Genomic DNA, 17,536 nt, shown 5'->3' with positions numbered 1-17,536 from the left:
GCTTGGCCTGGATCTCTTACCTCCACTCCTTATTGCTTGTCACATTGTGTACCGATGTCTGGGTATTTTCCCAGCCTGCCATTGATCTTAGAAGGAAAATTCTGCACTGGTGCTGCTCCAAGAGATACAGAGGATGCATTGATCTAACCCAATGTGTTATGTGGTTGATTTCTAAGGTGAAGTGAAATCAGTTCCAAAAAGGTTTGAAGAGATCAGCGCTGTCCATCCAGGGTTAAGACCCTATGTGTACCTTCCCTGGAATTCCATATTTATTGGTGATGCTATTTCTGTCTCAGAAAAGTCCCCCTAATTTCCAAAGTGGCTTACAAATAATAGGTTCTAGATCATCTTGAAAAAATTGGTCAGGTGATTGTGTATAAGAAAGAGGACAATTTTATATCACAAAAAGGAAAATGCACCAACATTTATATGTTTGCATTCAACTGTATGTTGTGCACAGTTGTGTGTGTGTTGGGGTTGGAAGAGTAAGTGTCATGGAAACTGAACGATGCTGGGAAATACATCCTAATTACTCAGGACCATATGTTTTTTATAAACAAGCAAACAAGAGTCATGGATTCAACTATAATGGATAAAAATCTCTCAAGTTAAAAACAATACAAGGAAGTAAAGTAGAATAGCACAGTACAGTAGTTAAGCATGAAGTAGTTAAGCTTGAAGCCAGTTGCCTGAGTTTATAACCCAGTCTGCTAATTACTAGTTGTGTGACATTTGATAGGTCAGTCACTTAAAAACAAAATAAAACAAAACAAACAAATCCTCTGTTCAATATTCCCCTCTATAAAGTGGACACAATAATAATAAGTATGCATAAGGATGTTGCGAAGGTTAGATGAGAAAGTGCAAATGAAATGTCTGATACTTCATAGAAGTGTGTTATAAAAGAGAAAAATATATATACGATTTTTGAACTCCTTGTAATAGAATAATATATTTCTCAGGTTCAAGAAGTTGGGAAAGAGTTAATCACAACAGAATTGTCACCATGCTAAGAGAGAGAGCAAGTGATTTTACTACTAGAAGCCAGTATGAACCCAATAACACAGTATGGGGAAGAGAACATCTAACCAATGCATAATAATTAGGATATTGTTGAGAACCGAGCCCTCCGAGCTTCTACATGCCTTTAACAATTAGTAGGTCAATGACCTTGCTCAGTGGATCTCCACTCATATGGGAGGCACCAGCAAAATGAAGAAAAACCCGCAGACGCTCTTGTAGGAAATGCAATTAAAGTGGAAAGGCCTAAAATAACATTTCCATTGTGCCCCTCACTTACATTGGAGAGTCAGGGCCAGACTGGGAGGCTGGCAGGGAAACAGCTTGGCACTGCAGGCCACCTGGGGTCCATTTGCCAACAGGACTTGTGGCTAACATCCTTTGATAACAAATTTCCCAGAGTCACAGGGCTCTTTTAGATCACCATGATTCCGGGTCACAAGACGGATGGGAAGCCACAGAGCCCCGGGTCCTTTCCGTGAAGTTAAATATTACACCATCCATAATGAAACATCTTTGTATCTCCTCGTGGCCACAATTACTTAGTCACTGATTATACAATAAACTCTTCAGAAATAATTCACAAAGATGAGAAATCAAACCCCACCCTTTTATGTTCTGAGGCATGAACCAGCTCCACCTCTTGAGAGAGGGAGGTAAAGCCTGTTGCACATCTTCAGCCCATGGTATTTTCCGGCAAATGTGGAAGACCCTCAATATTGGAAGGTGATCTGCAGTTCCACAGGGAGACAGTACAATGGGTGCCTGCCTGGGAATGGCAGTGCCTGGCTTCAGATACGATTTCAACCGATCAGCTGTATAGCACTGGGCAAATTACTTAATTTCCTAGGCATCTCAGTTTCCTTATTCACCAAATGGCAGTAATAATTGCACCTACTTCATAAGGTTGTTGGACCTGGCACACTGTAGTTGCTAAATAACCGTCAACTATAATGCCCATTCTCCTGAGTCGTTCACCTTTTCGATAGCCTAGCAAAAAGTTCTTTGAAAAAATGACAACTACCAAACAAAAGGCATATTTCATATAGACAAAATAACTCACATTGTCTCTTACACATGATAGGGACCTTGCCCATGATTGTGGCCCTTACATAATCTGGATAACCATTTGGGTTTTTATTGCTATGTGGTGCTTCTTCTGCAAATGGTATTGTCCTTTGTGAAACCCACTGCTTTTACCTTATCATTGGCAAATACTTTTGGGGTTTACTCGAAATGTATTCACTGGCATGGGGAGTATGGATGAGGTCCCTCCTTCATGGAACTTAGATTCTGGTTAGGTAAGGGGTAACAATAAAGCTTAAGAAGTTTTAGGATCCCAAACTCAGAGTTCAAGGGGCTCATGTGTGAGGAACTCTAGGGGGAGGAAGAAAAGAAGTAAAGTTTAAGCTCAAAATTGAAGGCGGCTGAGAGTTTTGCTTGAGAAAGTGCCCCAGGTGGGTGGAAGAATGTGGTTCCAATACCTAAAAGGAAAAGAAGCTTGGAGTTGAGAGGAGCCGAGGCCTTCCACCCACCTGCAGCAATGTCAGGCGGTAAGAGGATGATGGTCAGGCTGACCTAGGCTTGGAGACCACATCAAAGGGTCAGGCTTGATCCCAAAAGTATCAAGGAATCACGGAAGGGTTTCACACTGGGAGTGAAATGGTCTGACCTGAGGTGAGGCTGGATCATCTTGGCTGCTCTGTGAGGCAGGAGAGAATGTGGGGATCCTGGTGGGAGGCTGTGGCTGTCAAGTCGGCACAAGTGCACCATCTTTTAATGATTCTGGCCCAGACTTGGGTGGTTTGGAGGTAAAGAGGTAGATAGATTTGAGAAACATTTAAACATTTGGCTTAAAACTAAAGCTAGCCCTCCCTGCCCCACAAATCAGGATAAGTAGCAACATTAACCTATAGTCGGCCCTTCTGCTACCAACACCCAGGACGTTTTTAGTTTGGAAAAAGAAGGGACCTGGTATCTAAAGTGCAGCTTGGGGGTTTTCTACTGAGGTCAATGACCTGCACTGCTCTGCCTGACCCATTGCCACCTCAGACACTGAAGCCTGCTCAGCCTCCTCTCACCCTAATTACACTTATCATGCAAAGCCCTAATACAGCCAGGAAGGGCTCAACACCAGTCCCTCTAGCCAAACAATCAGCAAACTAAGATAACTTTAAAGAGTGTCAAGCCCAACTTTATGACTCCTTCATAGGCACCAAGGGCATTGTCTCAGCAGCCTCAGCCACCAGACAGGATGGCCCAGGGCTGCTTGTTCCTTGACCTGCTAGGACCAACTGTGACTCATCTATTTACTGCAGAGCAAAGGTAACTTGGGTTGCACAAGTTGACAGCTGTCTCCCAGGTGACAATCAGTACTGGAAATAAAGGCACTGGGCTTTAACTGGAAAAGTTTCTACTGGCATAGACCCAGGCTGGATGAGGCAGGGACGTGAGAGATGGCATGCACGTATTTTAAAGAACTGGGGTCCTCACAGCTGACTGGCTATTTCAAGTCACTCTTGTTATTATCTCACTGAGCAGCTTGGAGCCTAGTGATGTCACTTATATGTGCTCTGTTATTTACAGTTTGGATATTTTAGGCCCACAACCGTACTTCCTTTCTTGGCAGAAGGAAGATTAGGAGCAGCAATAATATTATAGTAATATTGGTATCATTTATTAATGGGATAGTCTATTCTGAAAGCAGTATGTCACTCAGGTTATACACATTGTCTGTAACCCAGGGTTCACAACCTAGGGTTCGCTTAGGAATCTCCCAGGAATCTTCAAAATACTGGTGCCTGGGTCTACTCTCCAAAGACTGATTGGGTAGGACCAGGGCATTGGCATGTTAAGGCTCGCCAGGGAATTCTAATGTGTACTTAAGGTCGAGAAACAGCTTTCATCATCACAACAACCTGCAAGGTAGGGATTTTTAGCTTCATTGGATAGATAAAGAAAATAGGGCCCAGGGACAACAGACAACTTGTGCAAGTACAAGATCAGGGACTTCAACCTTGGATCTGTCTGGCCACCAATCCCTGCTGCCAATTTGCTTCACGTGTGTTTCATGAATCCGTAGGTAAAGAGTAAACAGACAGAGCACACAGATGAGGAAAAGGGAGCCCAGGGCAGCAGCACCCCACAGGAGCTTCGTGCACAGGAGGCTCCACCACCACCCTGAGCCTGCTGTGCAGCATGGGGGTCACCTGCAGGTGAGGGTTCCAAAAGGAGAGTAGCCCAAGTTAGCAAATAATGGGTCTTCATGGTTGCAGCACCACCTGGCTTCTGTCCAATCCTCAGAAGCTGGCGCAGAGGAGAGATATTTGGTGGAAAGTTGAACGGGTCATGGCCCGGCTAGGGCAGTAGCCCCATGCACACTCAGTTACCTACAGTATCTGCAGAGAGATGAACTTCCTTCCCTAGTGTCTGCCTTCTCATCCTGCACTGTGTCAGCTCAGGGCTTGCACCAGGTTCTCTGGGCTGCCTCTAAATCGTACTTGAAGATGTTGGGGTTAACTCAAGAAAGTCGTGTTGATTGATATATACTGTCGAATGGGAAGGAAGCATCCTCTGATTCTTGTTTCCCCAACCTAGAGCACCTTTAGCCATAACTGCCGAAGTAAATATAATCAGGTGGGATTCTGAAACTGCATCTTCCTTCTCCTCTGCTAGGAACCCACCAGGGCAGAGCCTCAGCTCTCAGCCTCCCGGAATGAACCATGAACCCAAAGCAAAGAGCAGAACTCCTTTGACACCTCCAGCTTCACAGACAAAGATGAATCTCCTAAGGCATTTCTGGTATCGTTGCTACCAATGACTGAAAGAGCATCAAAGTCTGAGGGGTGGCAGAGGAGAGGGGAAGTTTCTGTAGTCAGGTAGGAGGTGTCTGGCCCTCTCTGTACTCCAGATCTAAACCCTACTCTAATACTCCCCACAAAGGCTTGGATTGGCCACTTTTGTTCATTTATTCACTCAACATTTATGAAGTTTATAGCACTAGGGATTCTTAGCAGAGTAAAACCGAATGCTGACCTTAAGTAGCTCACAGTTTAGCAGGAGAGAAGTCACCTAAAGGGCAAGTGTGATGTCAGAGGAAAGCACGGGTGTGGTGGGAACACAGGAGGTAGGAGGGTGGGTGTCCTAGAGGGGCAATTCCTGACTTGGGACTTATGAATGCCTAGCAGGAGTCGGCCAAGGGGAGAGTGGGGGAAACAGTTTTCTAAGTGGAGGGGGCACCTTCAGCAAAAGAGCAAAGATTCTGTTCTTTGCCTCAATAAAGGGTGCTCCTTGTTGAAAGGTCACCTTGGCTTAGCTCCAGAAACTCTTCCTTCTCTGGACTTCAGGGACTTGGACTTCTTTCTCTGCATTCAGGCCAAAGGGCTGAGTCTAAGTGAGACTAAATTCCTAACTCAGACTTTTTTTTCTTCAACAGAAACATGCAGTTCTGAAGTCTGGCCAGCCACACCAAAGAGCTTTTCGCAAGAAGGCACAGGCCAGGTAGAGGCAGCTGTGCAGTGGGAGGACTGTGATGTTTTGGACTAGAAAATAAGACGCAAATGAGGCCAAAAAAACACAGGCACTGCATAAAGGTGTCTTCTCCCCACTTTATAAGCCTTATGTGTGATAATATTCAATGCCACAGCAAGGCAAGCAAATAGGTCCTTGGAGGGAGGGATAGCTGGATTTTAATCCTGGCTCTACACTAAGGTCTTGGACTACTTACTGCAGGTCTCTGAGCTTCATAGTTTTATGTATAAAATAGGATGAAGACCATCCCCAAATCCACTTCGATGGTGAGAATTAGGTGACATGACAGCAGAAGGGCATTTAGAGTTTGGCACAGAAGGGATCTCAACAAATGGTAGCTGTGTTTCATCGTTCATTTGAGAACTGATGTTTGGATCCTTTTCTGCATCTTGAAATGTCCCAAAATATTCCTCCTTAAGCCCTGCAGTTGGATACTCATTGATACTTCTCTGTTCAATTTATACTGCGAGCAGGGGAGGGAGGCTTGAGCTTGGTTCCATGAACGAGGTTGAAGGGTGTAAGTCTCCCAGCTTCATTTCTGTCTCCTCCTCACCTGGGGAGCCATGGCCAATTCTCTTCCCAGGTCACTTGACTTCTCCATGACCATGACTTTCACCTTCTGCATTTTGGAACAATATACTCATGAATGCTAAGAAGCTTTTGTTTCTTTCTGCCTGTGCTGAGCCTGTCTACTATAAAAGAAAAATCACAATGGTTGTCATAGTTATGCTCTTTGCTTCCTGAGTGGAATAGCACCGGTTTTTATGTTACATTATACTATATTCTGGATCTCTCTTTGATGGTGGGTTATGGAGAAGGTTTGCCAATTCTTTCTTTTACAATTCTTTTTAAATAAATCCTCAGAATTAAGGCCATTTTATTATCTTCTTTTACTTTTAAATACACACACACACACACACACACACACACACATATACATAAAATGCTCACCAACTTTAAAAAAACATATTTAAACACCTGGAGTCTGCCATATAGTGGTATTGGGAAAGAATCCAGAAGAAATTGAGGCCACGGGAATATTTTAAAAGGCAGGGCTTGAACACAAATTCCTTCTGCTCCATTTGCATTGTAACCATTTAAGGTGAGGCCTTCTCAGCTCCTACCAGGACTGTTTAAGAACCTTGCACTTGCTCTCTGGCCTCTTTCCCCTGCAGTGTGTGCTGCTCAAGTATCTCAGTCATCACGTGATACGCCAGCTCAAAGTTCCCCAATAGCTCCCCACTGATAGCAGGATAAAACCCATTGTCCTGAACCAGACATTCAAAATCCTTTACTATCAGCTTCCTTCTGACTTTCCAGGCACTTGACCCCCGTCAAGTGGGTTTGCTCATTGTCTCGGTGTGCTGTGAGAGTGCTTAAATACCTTTATTTTGTGCCCTAGAGTTACGGATCTCTCTGTTTTCCCCCTTCAGAAATCATTTTCCTCTTCCTTATCTGTCCAAATCTCACCCATGTCCTTTGTGTACTGTGACTGGAAGCTCAGTCTCCACATAGATGGAGACTGCAAAGGGCTACCTGTCTTGATGAGTAGCCATTTTGTGCTCCATTTCCCTTTGCCCACAAATGGATGGATATTCCTGGGCCGCATGGTGTCCTGTTCCCCACTTTTTCTTTGACTTTCACTGGCAGCTCTACTATCTTTCCCCTGCTCTGCTCCGGCGACTTCTTAGTCCCCTTTCTTTACAAATCCAGAAGGAACTTGATAGCACAGAGGTGTTGTTTCTCTGCTATAATCTGTGTCCAAGCGCATTTGCATATAGTTTTACAATTTTGTCTCCCACATTGTGAACCTGTCCTCCAGGAAAACTTCCCTGGGCAGGCAAGGAGAGGGGGAGTACCGATGTTTCCTGCCTGTCCTGGACACATTTGAGCGCATGTAAATTGACCTACAAGCCTGTCAGGAGGTGTTTTGATCCACATTTTCAGAAAAGAGAACTGAAGCTCAGAGAGGGTTAATGACTTTCTCTGGGAGCGTTTGATACCAGATATGATGCCAAAGATGAAAAAAAAATTGTTGTGGGATGGAGCTTGTTAGAACAGGCTTCACAGCTGTGGTGGGACCTGAGCCAGGCCTTGGTCTGTTGGGCAGGAGGAGAGAGCACCATGAGTGTGAGCAGCATCACAAAGATTTCAGACTCAATGTGACAATGTGATCCTTTACGGCTTCCAGAGATTGTACCTGATTTCCTTTAAGAATGCATATTAAAGTTAATTGCTTGGTTTTGAGCATGCAAACGCTGAAATGTGCTAGAATGGTCAAAGTTCAGGGGTAAGTGAACTTTACTGCAGCATGTTGAGAACAGAATGAATGCTGACAAAGAAGCAGAGACTTTTTAATTTTAACTGCAGGTCAAAAGAGGACTCTTAACACAAGGTAGCTGAAACTGGGCAAACACACGATCCCAGATGGTTTTATACAGCATAAAAATGAATGAGCCAATGTGGGTTCATCGATGGTAACAAATGCATCACTCTGTATGTGTGTGAGGGGGTATGTGGGAACTCTCTGTACTTTCTGCTCATTTTTGCTGTGAACCTAAAACTGCTCTAAAAAATAAAGTGTATTTTAAAAGAAAATTAAATTAAATGTTTAAAAATTTTAAATGAATGAGTCTAATTACCAAAGCTACCAATTGTGGCCGGAGGGGAGGGGAGGACGCACCCTCCTCTTAGTGTTTTGGAGCATAGACTCCTTGCTCAGCTATGTGAGCTTCATCGTCTTTTATTTTTCCAGCTCACTGGGTAACGAAATGCTTACGAGCACTGAAGGCCTAAAAAAACAAGGCATGAAATATTAACAAAAGGAGGAAGAAGAAAATGAAGAGAAGGAACTGGAACACATTTTATAACCCGTATATTGAAAAATAAAAAGCTGGCTGCACATAACAGGTTGTAGAAGCATAATGATGAGGCGTCCAGGAAAAGGAGTTATACAGAACATTTTACATATAATGACCTTATGAAGTTACTTATCTCTCTAATTTTCTGTTATCTCTTCACTAAAACAGAGCTAACAATACCTGCTTCATATGGTTGTGGAAAGGATTAAATGAGATAAAGTATGTAAAATGCTTAGACCAAGAGCCTATATTCATTTTTTAAAAATATTTATTGAGTGCCTATTCTGGGCTAGATATCAAGGATTCAGTGACAAGCAAAACACATGATTCCTGATGGCCCACTGAGTTTTCAGTCTAAGGGGGAAACAGATGTCAAATAAAGAAACATAAAAATAATTATAAACTGTGGAGAGTTCAATAAAGAAAAAACTCAGAGTGATGTGAGGAAATAACAGGACCTCTGAGTAAATGATCAATAAATAGTAGTTAAAGAGACTTTTTTTTGTAACTATGACAGACTACCTTCTATTAGACCAACACTTCACAAAGAACTGGGAAAAAATGGATAATATATTTTAAAAACTACTTGAAGGATTATGAGAGCTATCAAGGCAGCAAGGGCATCAGTAGACAAAATTCCAGAGAGAAGATAAATACAAAGAAGTTAAGATCAAAATGCAGTTCTACTTTGTCCTTGAAGCATTAGCCTGCTCATAAGTGGCTGAAGATAGTTTTCACAATCTCATGAACAAAATTGGAGGTCATGGCTCAATGAGGAGAGGCACTGAGAAACACCCTAGGCTTTCAGCTGGGATCCCTCAAAGACAGCAATCTAAGCATAAAGGCAAACTAGGTATAGACCAGCTCTCACAAAAAGTAAAAGCAGCTCAGCCCAGTTGGACTAAGGTGACTTGGTTCACTTAACTGCCTGGCATTAACCTCTAGGAAGAAAGATAACATCATCCAGAACTTCAAATAATCTCTATAATTTTTCAAAGAATAAAGCCCAGCATTCTTTTTAAAAATATTCTAGAATACAAGGAGATAAGCCAAGTGACCAAAAATCATTTGGAGACAATAGAAAGAGATCCACAGGGGATCTAGATACTATATCGATCCTGGAGTTATCAGACACAGAGTTTAAATACTTTATTAAATATATGAATGAAAGTTGTTGATGAGATGGAGAATTTCAACGGAAAACTAAAATCTATAAAAAAGAATAAGAAGGAAATTCTAGAACTGAAACACAATAAATAAAATTTAAATTCAAGAAATTAATTAGGAGCAGACTGAACATAGCTGAAGAAAGAAATAATGAACTAGAATATAGGTCAGTAGAAAATATCTAGACTGAACCACAGAGAGGAAAAGAGAGTCAAACAAGATAAAAAGACAGTAAGAGATATTTAGGACATCGTAATGTCAGAAAGAGGAAAAAAGAAAGAATGGGTAGAAGCAATATTTGAATTCACAGTTATAAGAAACACTATGAATCCAATGATAGACAAATACAAATAAACTTCAGCAGCGTGCACAGTAATAAAATTGTTGAAAACCAAAGACAAAGATAAAATGTTAATAGCTAGAGGAAAAAGGACACATTATCTTTAAGAACAGTAAGGCTGACAGCTGAATTCTTAACCAAAATTATGGATGCAAAAGACAATGGTAGGTCATCCTAAACTGTAAAATATCCCTGCCAAAGTAAGATAATAAAAATACTGAAGCTGAAATTTTACTAATTTCTAATTCATTTTTTACTTTGTATATTTTTATTGTAAAATAAAAAAACACAAAGACAGAAACCACTCAAAACAAATGTATAGCTTAATAAATTATTTTAAGGCAGACACTCTTGTAACTGCCATAAAGAAATAGAACTTTTCCAGCCACTTGGAAATGTTCCTTGTGTGCTATCCTGATCACAATGCACCACCTTCCCTAGAAGCAACCTTTACACTTTTATTGTAATCTCTTTCTTGTGTTTATAGCTTTATTACCCACATATGCATCCCTAGACACTATAGTCTAGAATTGCCCATTAAAAAATGTTTGATATATAAATCTCTTTTAATCCACTGCACCTCCTTCTATTCCTTTCTTCTCCTCAGACTTTATCTGTTGAAAATCTAAGGCTGTTTGACCTATAGAATTTCCTGAAGTCTAGATTTCATTAATCTCATAATCATAGAATATAGCCCAACAAGTCCTCTGTTCTCTGTGTTTCCAGCAAAATTGTAGCTGGACCCACAGCCTTGAACACTGTATTTTCCGGAAGAATTTGTCACTAATGCCTGCTCTAAAGGAAATACACAAGGGAGTTTTTCAGGCAGAAGAAAAGTGATGCTAAATGACAGCAAAAAATTGTAGCAAAAAATGAATAGTAAAAGAAAGATAAATATGTAAGTAAATCTAAATAAATATTGACTGTATAAGCCAATACTACTAATAATAAAGGTTTTAAATTTTTAATATGTAGATTTAAAATACATGACAATGATAGCCTAAAAGGCAGAAAGAAGATAAAGTCAAAATGTTCAAATATGCTTCAATTGTACAGAAATTGATAAAAGTACAAATTTGTATTATACTTTAACCAAAGCAGAATGCATGTTGAATCTCTAACATAACCTTTGAAAGTATGTAAAAAGATTATTTATAACTGCCAAGATGTGAAAAAATGGCATAGCAAAACAAATTTGATTAACTCAAAAGAAAGTAAAGGAAAAAATGTAGAACAGATGAAACAAATTGGAAAAAATAACATAAAAAACCCCAAGGGTTTCAGCAATTATATTAAATGTAAATAATTCTTAACATTTATATTGTCAGACTGTATTAAAATGTAACAAGACCCAATAATGCAATGCTTACAAGAGAAGCATCTTGAATACAAGATACAGAAAAAAAAGTGAAATAATGGAGAGAGATACACCATACAAACCCTAACTAAAAGAAAGCTGCCATAGTTATACTAATATTAAAACAAAGTAAATTGCAAGTCAAGAAGGACCCTCTGTAAAAGTGAAAATCCACTAGGATGATCAAATAGGCTTAAATTTGTGTGTTTTATCGTGTAGCTTCAGAATGTATAAAAAAAGATACAATTAAAGCAGAAATAGGAAAATTCACAATCACAATGGAAGCTTTTAAACATATTTCTCACTGAAACTGGTAGAATAAACAAACAATGATTAAAAAAAAAAGTCAGACATAGTCCCCACCTATATTGAACTTACAATAGATTAAAGGATGAATGAATGTAAAATTGCACATTAGCTGTTTGCTCTGAAGTAAAGGAAGACAGTTTTATGACAATGAACATGGCTGGACTGAGGGAATCAAGAAAGGCCTTTCTGAGAGGGTGACACTTGATCTCAGCTCTGAAGGATGAATAATGGCTAATTAGGTGAATGGAAGAAGAAGTGTGAACCAAAGAGCATTAGACATTGGGCACATGTCATCCTCAAAGATGCTGTGGTTGGAAGTAAACATATGAGTTTGAAGAACTGGAAGGAGGTCCAAGTGACTAAAGCACAGTGGATCACAGTGTATGAAGAGAAGTAGCTCAAAGTCAAGCTGAAGACGTGGGTCAGGCCAGAACATTCAGAATTTTGTCAGTCATGTACAGATCTTGGACTTTATCCAGAAAGCAATATTACTATTGGATTTATGTTTGAAAAAGATTATTCTAGCTGTGGCATAAGAATAAATTGTAGAAGATCAGAGTTAACAGAGGAGGCTAGACAATCCAGCAGTTTTTACCAGTGATATAGTTTGGATATTTGTCCCCACCCAAATCTCATGTTGAATTGTAATCCCCAGCACTGGAGGTGGGGACCTGGTGGGAGATCATGGGGGCAGATGGATCATGGGGGCAGATCCCCCATGTCTTGGTACTGTCTTTGTAGTAGTGAGTTTTTGTGAGATCTGGTCATTTAAAAGTGTGTCACCTCCCCCGTACCTCTCTCTCTCTCCTGTTCTCACCATTTGATGTGCCTGCTCCCCTTTTGCCTTCTGCCATGATTGGATTGTTCCTGAGGCCTCCCCAGAAGCAGATGCTGCTATGTTTCCTGTAGAGCCTGCAGAACTGTGAGCTAATTAAACTTCTTTTCTTATGAATTACCCAGTCTCAGATACTTCTTTATAGCAGTGTAAGAATGACCTAACACAACCAGTGACTAGAGATGAAGGATGATAGTGATGACAGTGGAGATGGAGAGGAGTCAGAGTCAAGAGATATTTAAGGGGTAAAATCAACAGGCGTTGGTGAAGAATTCTACATGGTGGCTGAGGGCAAGGGAGTCATCAAGGATGTCTTTTTAGTTCTTTGGTTGTACAAGTGGGTTTAACAGTGATGCCATTCTCTAAGAAACACAGACCGGGTTTTGGAGGGAAAATAATAAATTCAGTTTTAGACATGTTGAGATTGAGGTTTTTCTTTTTTTTTTCTGTAAGGGATTGTTCTATAGGACATCTCTCAAGACACTTAATATATTTTCTCTTTGTGGTGTTTTTGGTTGGTTTTATTTGCTTGTTTTACTCCCTTCTGTCTGACATTTCAAAAATGCAATTGCAAGCCTTGACCGTGGATATTTATCATGTCACTGCATCAAAATATTGATGCTTGCCTAATGTGAACCTTCCCAGGGAGTAATGGAAACAAGAGAGAAGATGGAAAATGTGTCACTATCCCTAGGAGTGCTTGTGGGGTGCTGAACATTGACCCCAGTCAGAGTCTAAATGTGTCAGGGAATTTTCCTGGCTCTAGGTGTTAAAGGCCATTCAAGGAGGCAAGATTGTTTTCCTGGACGATGCCACACAAGGATGTTCAAGTCAAGTTTAGGAGAATTGGCTCTCAATGCACAGGGCCATTTCAATGAATTAGTAATGAGCTCTCCTTTCATTGAAAATTAATTCTGTCAAGGATATGAATCAGGTGTCATATGAAAACAGAGGCCAATCAGCTCTTCCAAAGCAATTTCTTGTTAGAACACCAGGGTGGGTGATGCCATTTCTTTTGTTCCGGCTGGTTGGGACCCTGTTGGCAGGTCATTTTGAAATTCTTTACATAAGAAAGAACACAGTCGGCCGGGCACAGTGGTTCATGCCTGTAATCCCAGCACTTTGGGAGGCTGAGGCGGGTGTATCACGAGGTCAGGAGTTCGCGACCAGCCTGACCAACATGGTGAAGCCCCATCTCTACTAAAAATACAAAAATTAGCCAGGCATGTGGTGCATGCCTGTAATCCCAGCTACTCGGGAGGCTGGGGCAGGAGAATTGCTTGAATCTCGGAGGTGGAGGTTGCAGTGAGCTGAGATTGCACCACTGCACTCCAGCCTGGGCAGCAGAGCAAGACTCCATCTCAAAAAAAAAAAAAAAGAACACAGTGAAGATGACAGCCTGAAGTGAAGTCTATTTATATCCAGAAAAAAAAGGCATATATTAATGATTATTTCTCTATTTTTTGGAATATTGACCAATAACTTTATGAGGATGTATCAGGCTTTTTTTGTTCAATACATTTTTCCTTCTTCTGTCTCATGTCACGTAATTCTTTCAGAATTTAAGTTATAAGAAATTGCATTTCTATTCATTAAGGTCTGATAAGAAAGTGTTATGGTATCTGATCTGAATGAGGATTGTAAGATTGTTTATGTGGTTAAAATTATGTGTTCTTCCTTAAAAGAGCTTGAATTTTAAGGTTTTGCCCTAAGTCATTATTATTGAGTCTACCTAAAGTTTCAACAGTTGCAGAACTGAAGAGAAGATCTGCTTCCTCACTTGGAATAGAGTCCTGAATTTTATAACTATATGAAGAATATAGTTGGAGACAAATGATTTACAACTATTTCGTAAGCAGTGGTAGATGTTCAGGAACTTATTTCTATGGTTTCTTATATTTCTGATGTGTTTGAGGATCATCCCTTAGAAGTCTATAAAGTATCAGGCTATATATATCTAGCCTAGAACTGGGTGGAACAATGAACCATGACTGCTTAATATCAATGCTGCTTAACATAAAAGCACCAACAAATTTTGAAGCAGGGAGGAACTTAAGCTATTGTGCTTAAGCCACTGCTCTCTGGTGGGCCAGTGATTTAGGATCCTGACTTATTTTAATCCTTCCACCTCCCATTATCTATAAGGAAGCAAAGGCACAGAGGGAAGTGTCCTGCCAAAAGTCACACAATTTGTATTTTAGAATTCACCTTCCTACAAGTTCTTCTTCAGAAAAAAAACTGAGTGTGTGAGCTAATCTTTATCTAACAGACTGATTTCACATATTACAAAGATAAAGTCTTGGATGATAGCACCAGACAGAACTATCCTTCATGAAGTTCCTCTTTGTGGGCTCTGGAAATTGGATGTGGGCTCTGTGAATTGGATGGCCATTTTTATTTCCTTTTTGTATTCTTGCAGACTCTGTCATAAAGAGGAAGCCATCAGGTTCTTGGATAATTGCTGAATGGAACTAAGGGAAATGAGAGGAGAGAAGCATCTCAGAGCATGTTTGGACTTGCTGCATGCCTTGGACCCTGCTACACACTGATAACTGAATATTGAGCCCTTGAGCTGATAAACAAGGGTCTTTGACTCGAGAGTGTTTTGCCATCCTGTTTGCAAGCTTTGTGTTTGTTTCCTTTCCTCCAAGAGTACATTTTCTTACTCCTCATATGGCCCCAAACCACACATTGAGAACTATGGCCTAGAGTTTGTGATTAATGGAACCCTATCTCCACTCCAACCTCCACTCATTAACCAATGATCTCTACTGGTGCCTGTCACATTTACAAATATGTGAGAGGCCTTAATTTAAATCTGGAACTAAGCTAGTGATTTCAATTACAATAGTCTGACTCATTCCGACATTATCATTGGGTAAAATAGCCTCAGTTTCCTTATCTGTAAAATGAATTCAATGTTGGCAACACTGGTCTTAAAGTAAAATAACTTTAAGAAAATTGCTGAAGGCTATGGCGTATGACTTAGTGTATTATTATTTTATAATGGAGAGTTTTACCTACCAAAGAAAGGAGTTATCAGCTGCCCGTTGCATTGCTGGTAATTTATTATTAATGATTTCTAAAAACTCTAACATTGCAGGAAGCTTCAAGCATCATTACTGCATTACATTTTGCTTTTGTGTTAATGGACAGCTATTTTTCACTGTCATTTTCATGAGTAGAAAGAGAGCACAGATGAACAATTTTAACAAATATAGGACAATAGAAGACATATTCCAGACTTCAGCATTTATTAATAGAATGATCAAATTCAGCCTTATCAGAATGGAGAACTTCCTGGTCACAGACAGTAATCTATATACCTCCTTCTCACCAGTGCCCTCACCTCGTTAACCCACTCAGAGGCAAGGGTCAGGAAACACTGCACTTAGTACTTTTGTGCTTAAAAAATTAAAGAATCCAAATTATCACTTTTTGCTTTCTACATAGTTGAGAAAAAAAAGTAATGTTACAATCTCAGACCATGGAGGAACTTCTATTCACTTCAACTGAACTTCTTTATGGATTAGAATGAGGAAGCCCTTTGATGTCACCAAAGAGGTCTTTTCCTTCTAGAAGGCTTTTAAAAAATCATGTTCCAGGGAGAGTTCTCTGTTTTTCAGACAATTCTTGGAAGTAAAGACCTCCTTCTCCCCCACAATCTGGAATAATCAACTGGGCTTGACAGCCCAGTTGCACATACTACAGAAGCAAAACTATCCTAACCCCCAATGTTAAAAAATGGAAGCAATTCTTTTCTATTGAAGTCACAAGTCCCCATTCTACATCTTCAGCTTGTATTCTCTCCCGATTCCTAATATACCATTCATAGTAAAAATGCATGTGCCTAAGGATGGTTCTGTCTGAAGATGCTATCAGTCAGCAGAAACAAAGACATTGGGGGTCTCGTTTTATCTTCTTGTTGCAGGTAGTTAGACATAGACATGAGGGAGGCAAGACAGGGCTTTTCTCTGCCACCCACTAGGAATGTCAGGTGATGGTTCAACAATTATCATACTGCCTCTCTAAAAAATGTGGCCAGAGCCGGGGAGAGACAGTCTCCAGCTGATCCACAGCTGTTAACATTAAAGTGTTCATTGAATGCCGATGTCAGGGAGAAGCAACTTCCTGGGCATACGCATTAAGAGACAAAATGGTAGAATATGACCTTCTGGGGGCACTCCACTAGAAAAGGGAAGAAAGCCTCAGATGGCCATGCATACAACTTCCTAAACACCCTGTGTGTGCTCACTTCCCAAGGGTAAGGAGGGTACTACACATGTGGGCAGCTCACCTCAAGAGAAAAATCACGGGAAAGGGATGCAAGATGGCAGCCTATAAAGTCCTAGGATCATGGTTAAACACCACACTTGTTGTTCACCCACAATCTGGAATAATCTAAGTCTTGTTCTTCACATCACCCACTTCACGTTCTTCCAAGTGTTCTTTCCTTTTCTAAAGCCTTGTTTTTTGTTTGTTTGTTTGTTTGTTTGTTTGTTGCTTTTTTGTGGGTTTTTTTTTTTTTGACAAGAGTTTCACTCTTTTGCCCAGGCTGGAGTCCAGTGACTCAATCTCAGCTCACTGCAACCTCCGCCTCCCAGGTTCAAGCAATTCTCCTGCCTCAGCCTCCCGAGTAGCTGGGATTACAGAGGCCTGCCACACTCCTGGCTAATTTTTGTATTTTTAGCAGAGATGGTGTTTCACCATGTTGGCCAGGCTGGTCTCAAACTCCTGACCTTGTGATCCACCCACCTCGGCCTCCCACAGTGCTGAGATTACAGGCGTAAGCCACCACACCCGGCCCTAAAGCCTTGTTAATAAACTTCCACTCCTGCTCTGAAACTTGCCTTGGTCTCTTTTTCTGCTTTATGCCCCTCAGTCAAATTCTTTCTTCTGAGGAGGCAAGAATTGAGGTTGTTGCAGACCCGTATGGATTTGCCACCAGTAACTCATATACCTGCCGCCAGTAACAATCTCTTCTTCTCCATGCTGCCCTTTGGTTAACTGATGCTGTAAGAACAAATTAACAAGTTTGAATGGTTTATTTTCAAAAGGATGAAGAATGCCAAGATAACAGCTCTCTGCAAACATGTTACAATTAGCAGATGTAAAAG

At 40.7% G+C, this 17,536-nt stretch overlaps 2 long non-coding RNA genes across 2 annotated transcripts in view; one reads left to right on the top strand and one right to left on the bottom strand.

Moving 5' to 3' along the window:
* The window catches only part of SMIM2-AS1 (SMIM2 antisense RNA 1), a 43,531-nt gene extending 42,167 nt beyond the window's left edge, over positions 1 to 1,364 (bottom strand). Inside the window, exon 1 of the long non-coding RNA NR_104065.1 lies at positions 1,301 to 1,364. This is a non-coding gene — a long non-coding RNA (SMIM2 antisense RNA 1). The remainder of the gene's footprint in view (positions 1 to 1,300) is intronic.
* LINC00390 (long intergenic non-protein coding RNA 390) overlaps positions 1 to 5,822 on the top strand; it is a 41,645-nt gene extending 35,823 nt beyond the window's left edge. The window contains exons 3-4 of the long non-coding RNA NR_132368.1: positions 4,696 to 4,821; positions 5,456 to 5,822. This is a non-coding gene — a long non-coding RNA (long intergenic non-protein coding RNA 390). The remainder of the gene's footprint in view (positions 1 to 4,695; positions 4,822 to 5,455) is intronic.
* Positions 5,823 to 17,536: the final 11,714 nt, after the last annotated feature.

The sequence above is a fragment of the Homo sapiens genome, chromosome 13 (assembly GCF_000001405.40).
Source record: "Homo sapiens chromosome 13, GRCh38.p14 Primary Assembly".
Classification (NCBI taxonomy): Eukaryota; Metazoa; Chordata; class Mammalia; order Primates; family Hominidae; genus Homo; species Homo sapiens.
The sequence above is the reverse complement of the archived record's forward strand: the minus strand, read 5'-3'. Positions and strand labels throughout refer to the sequence as shown.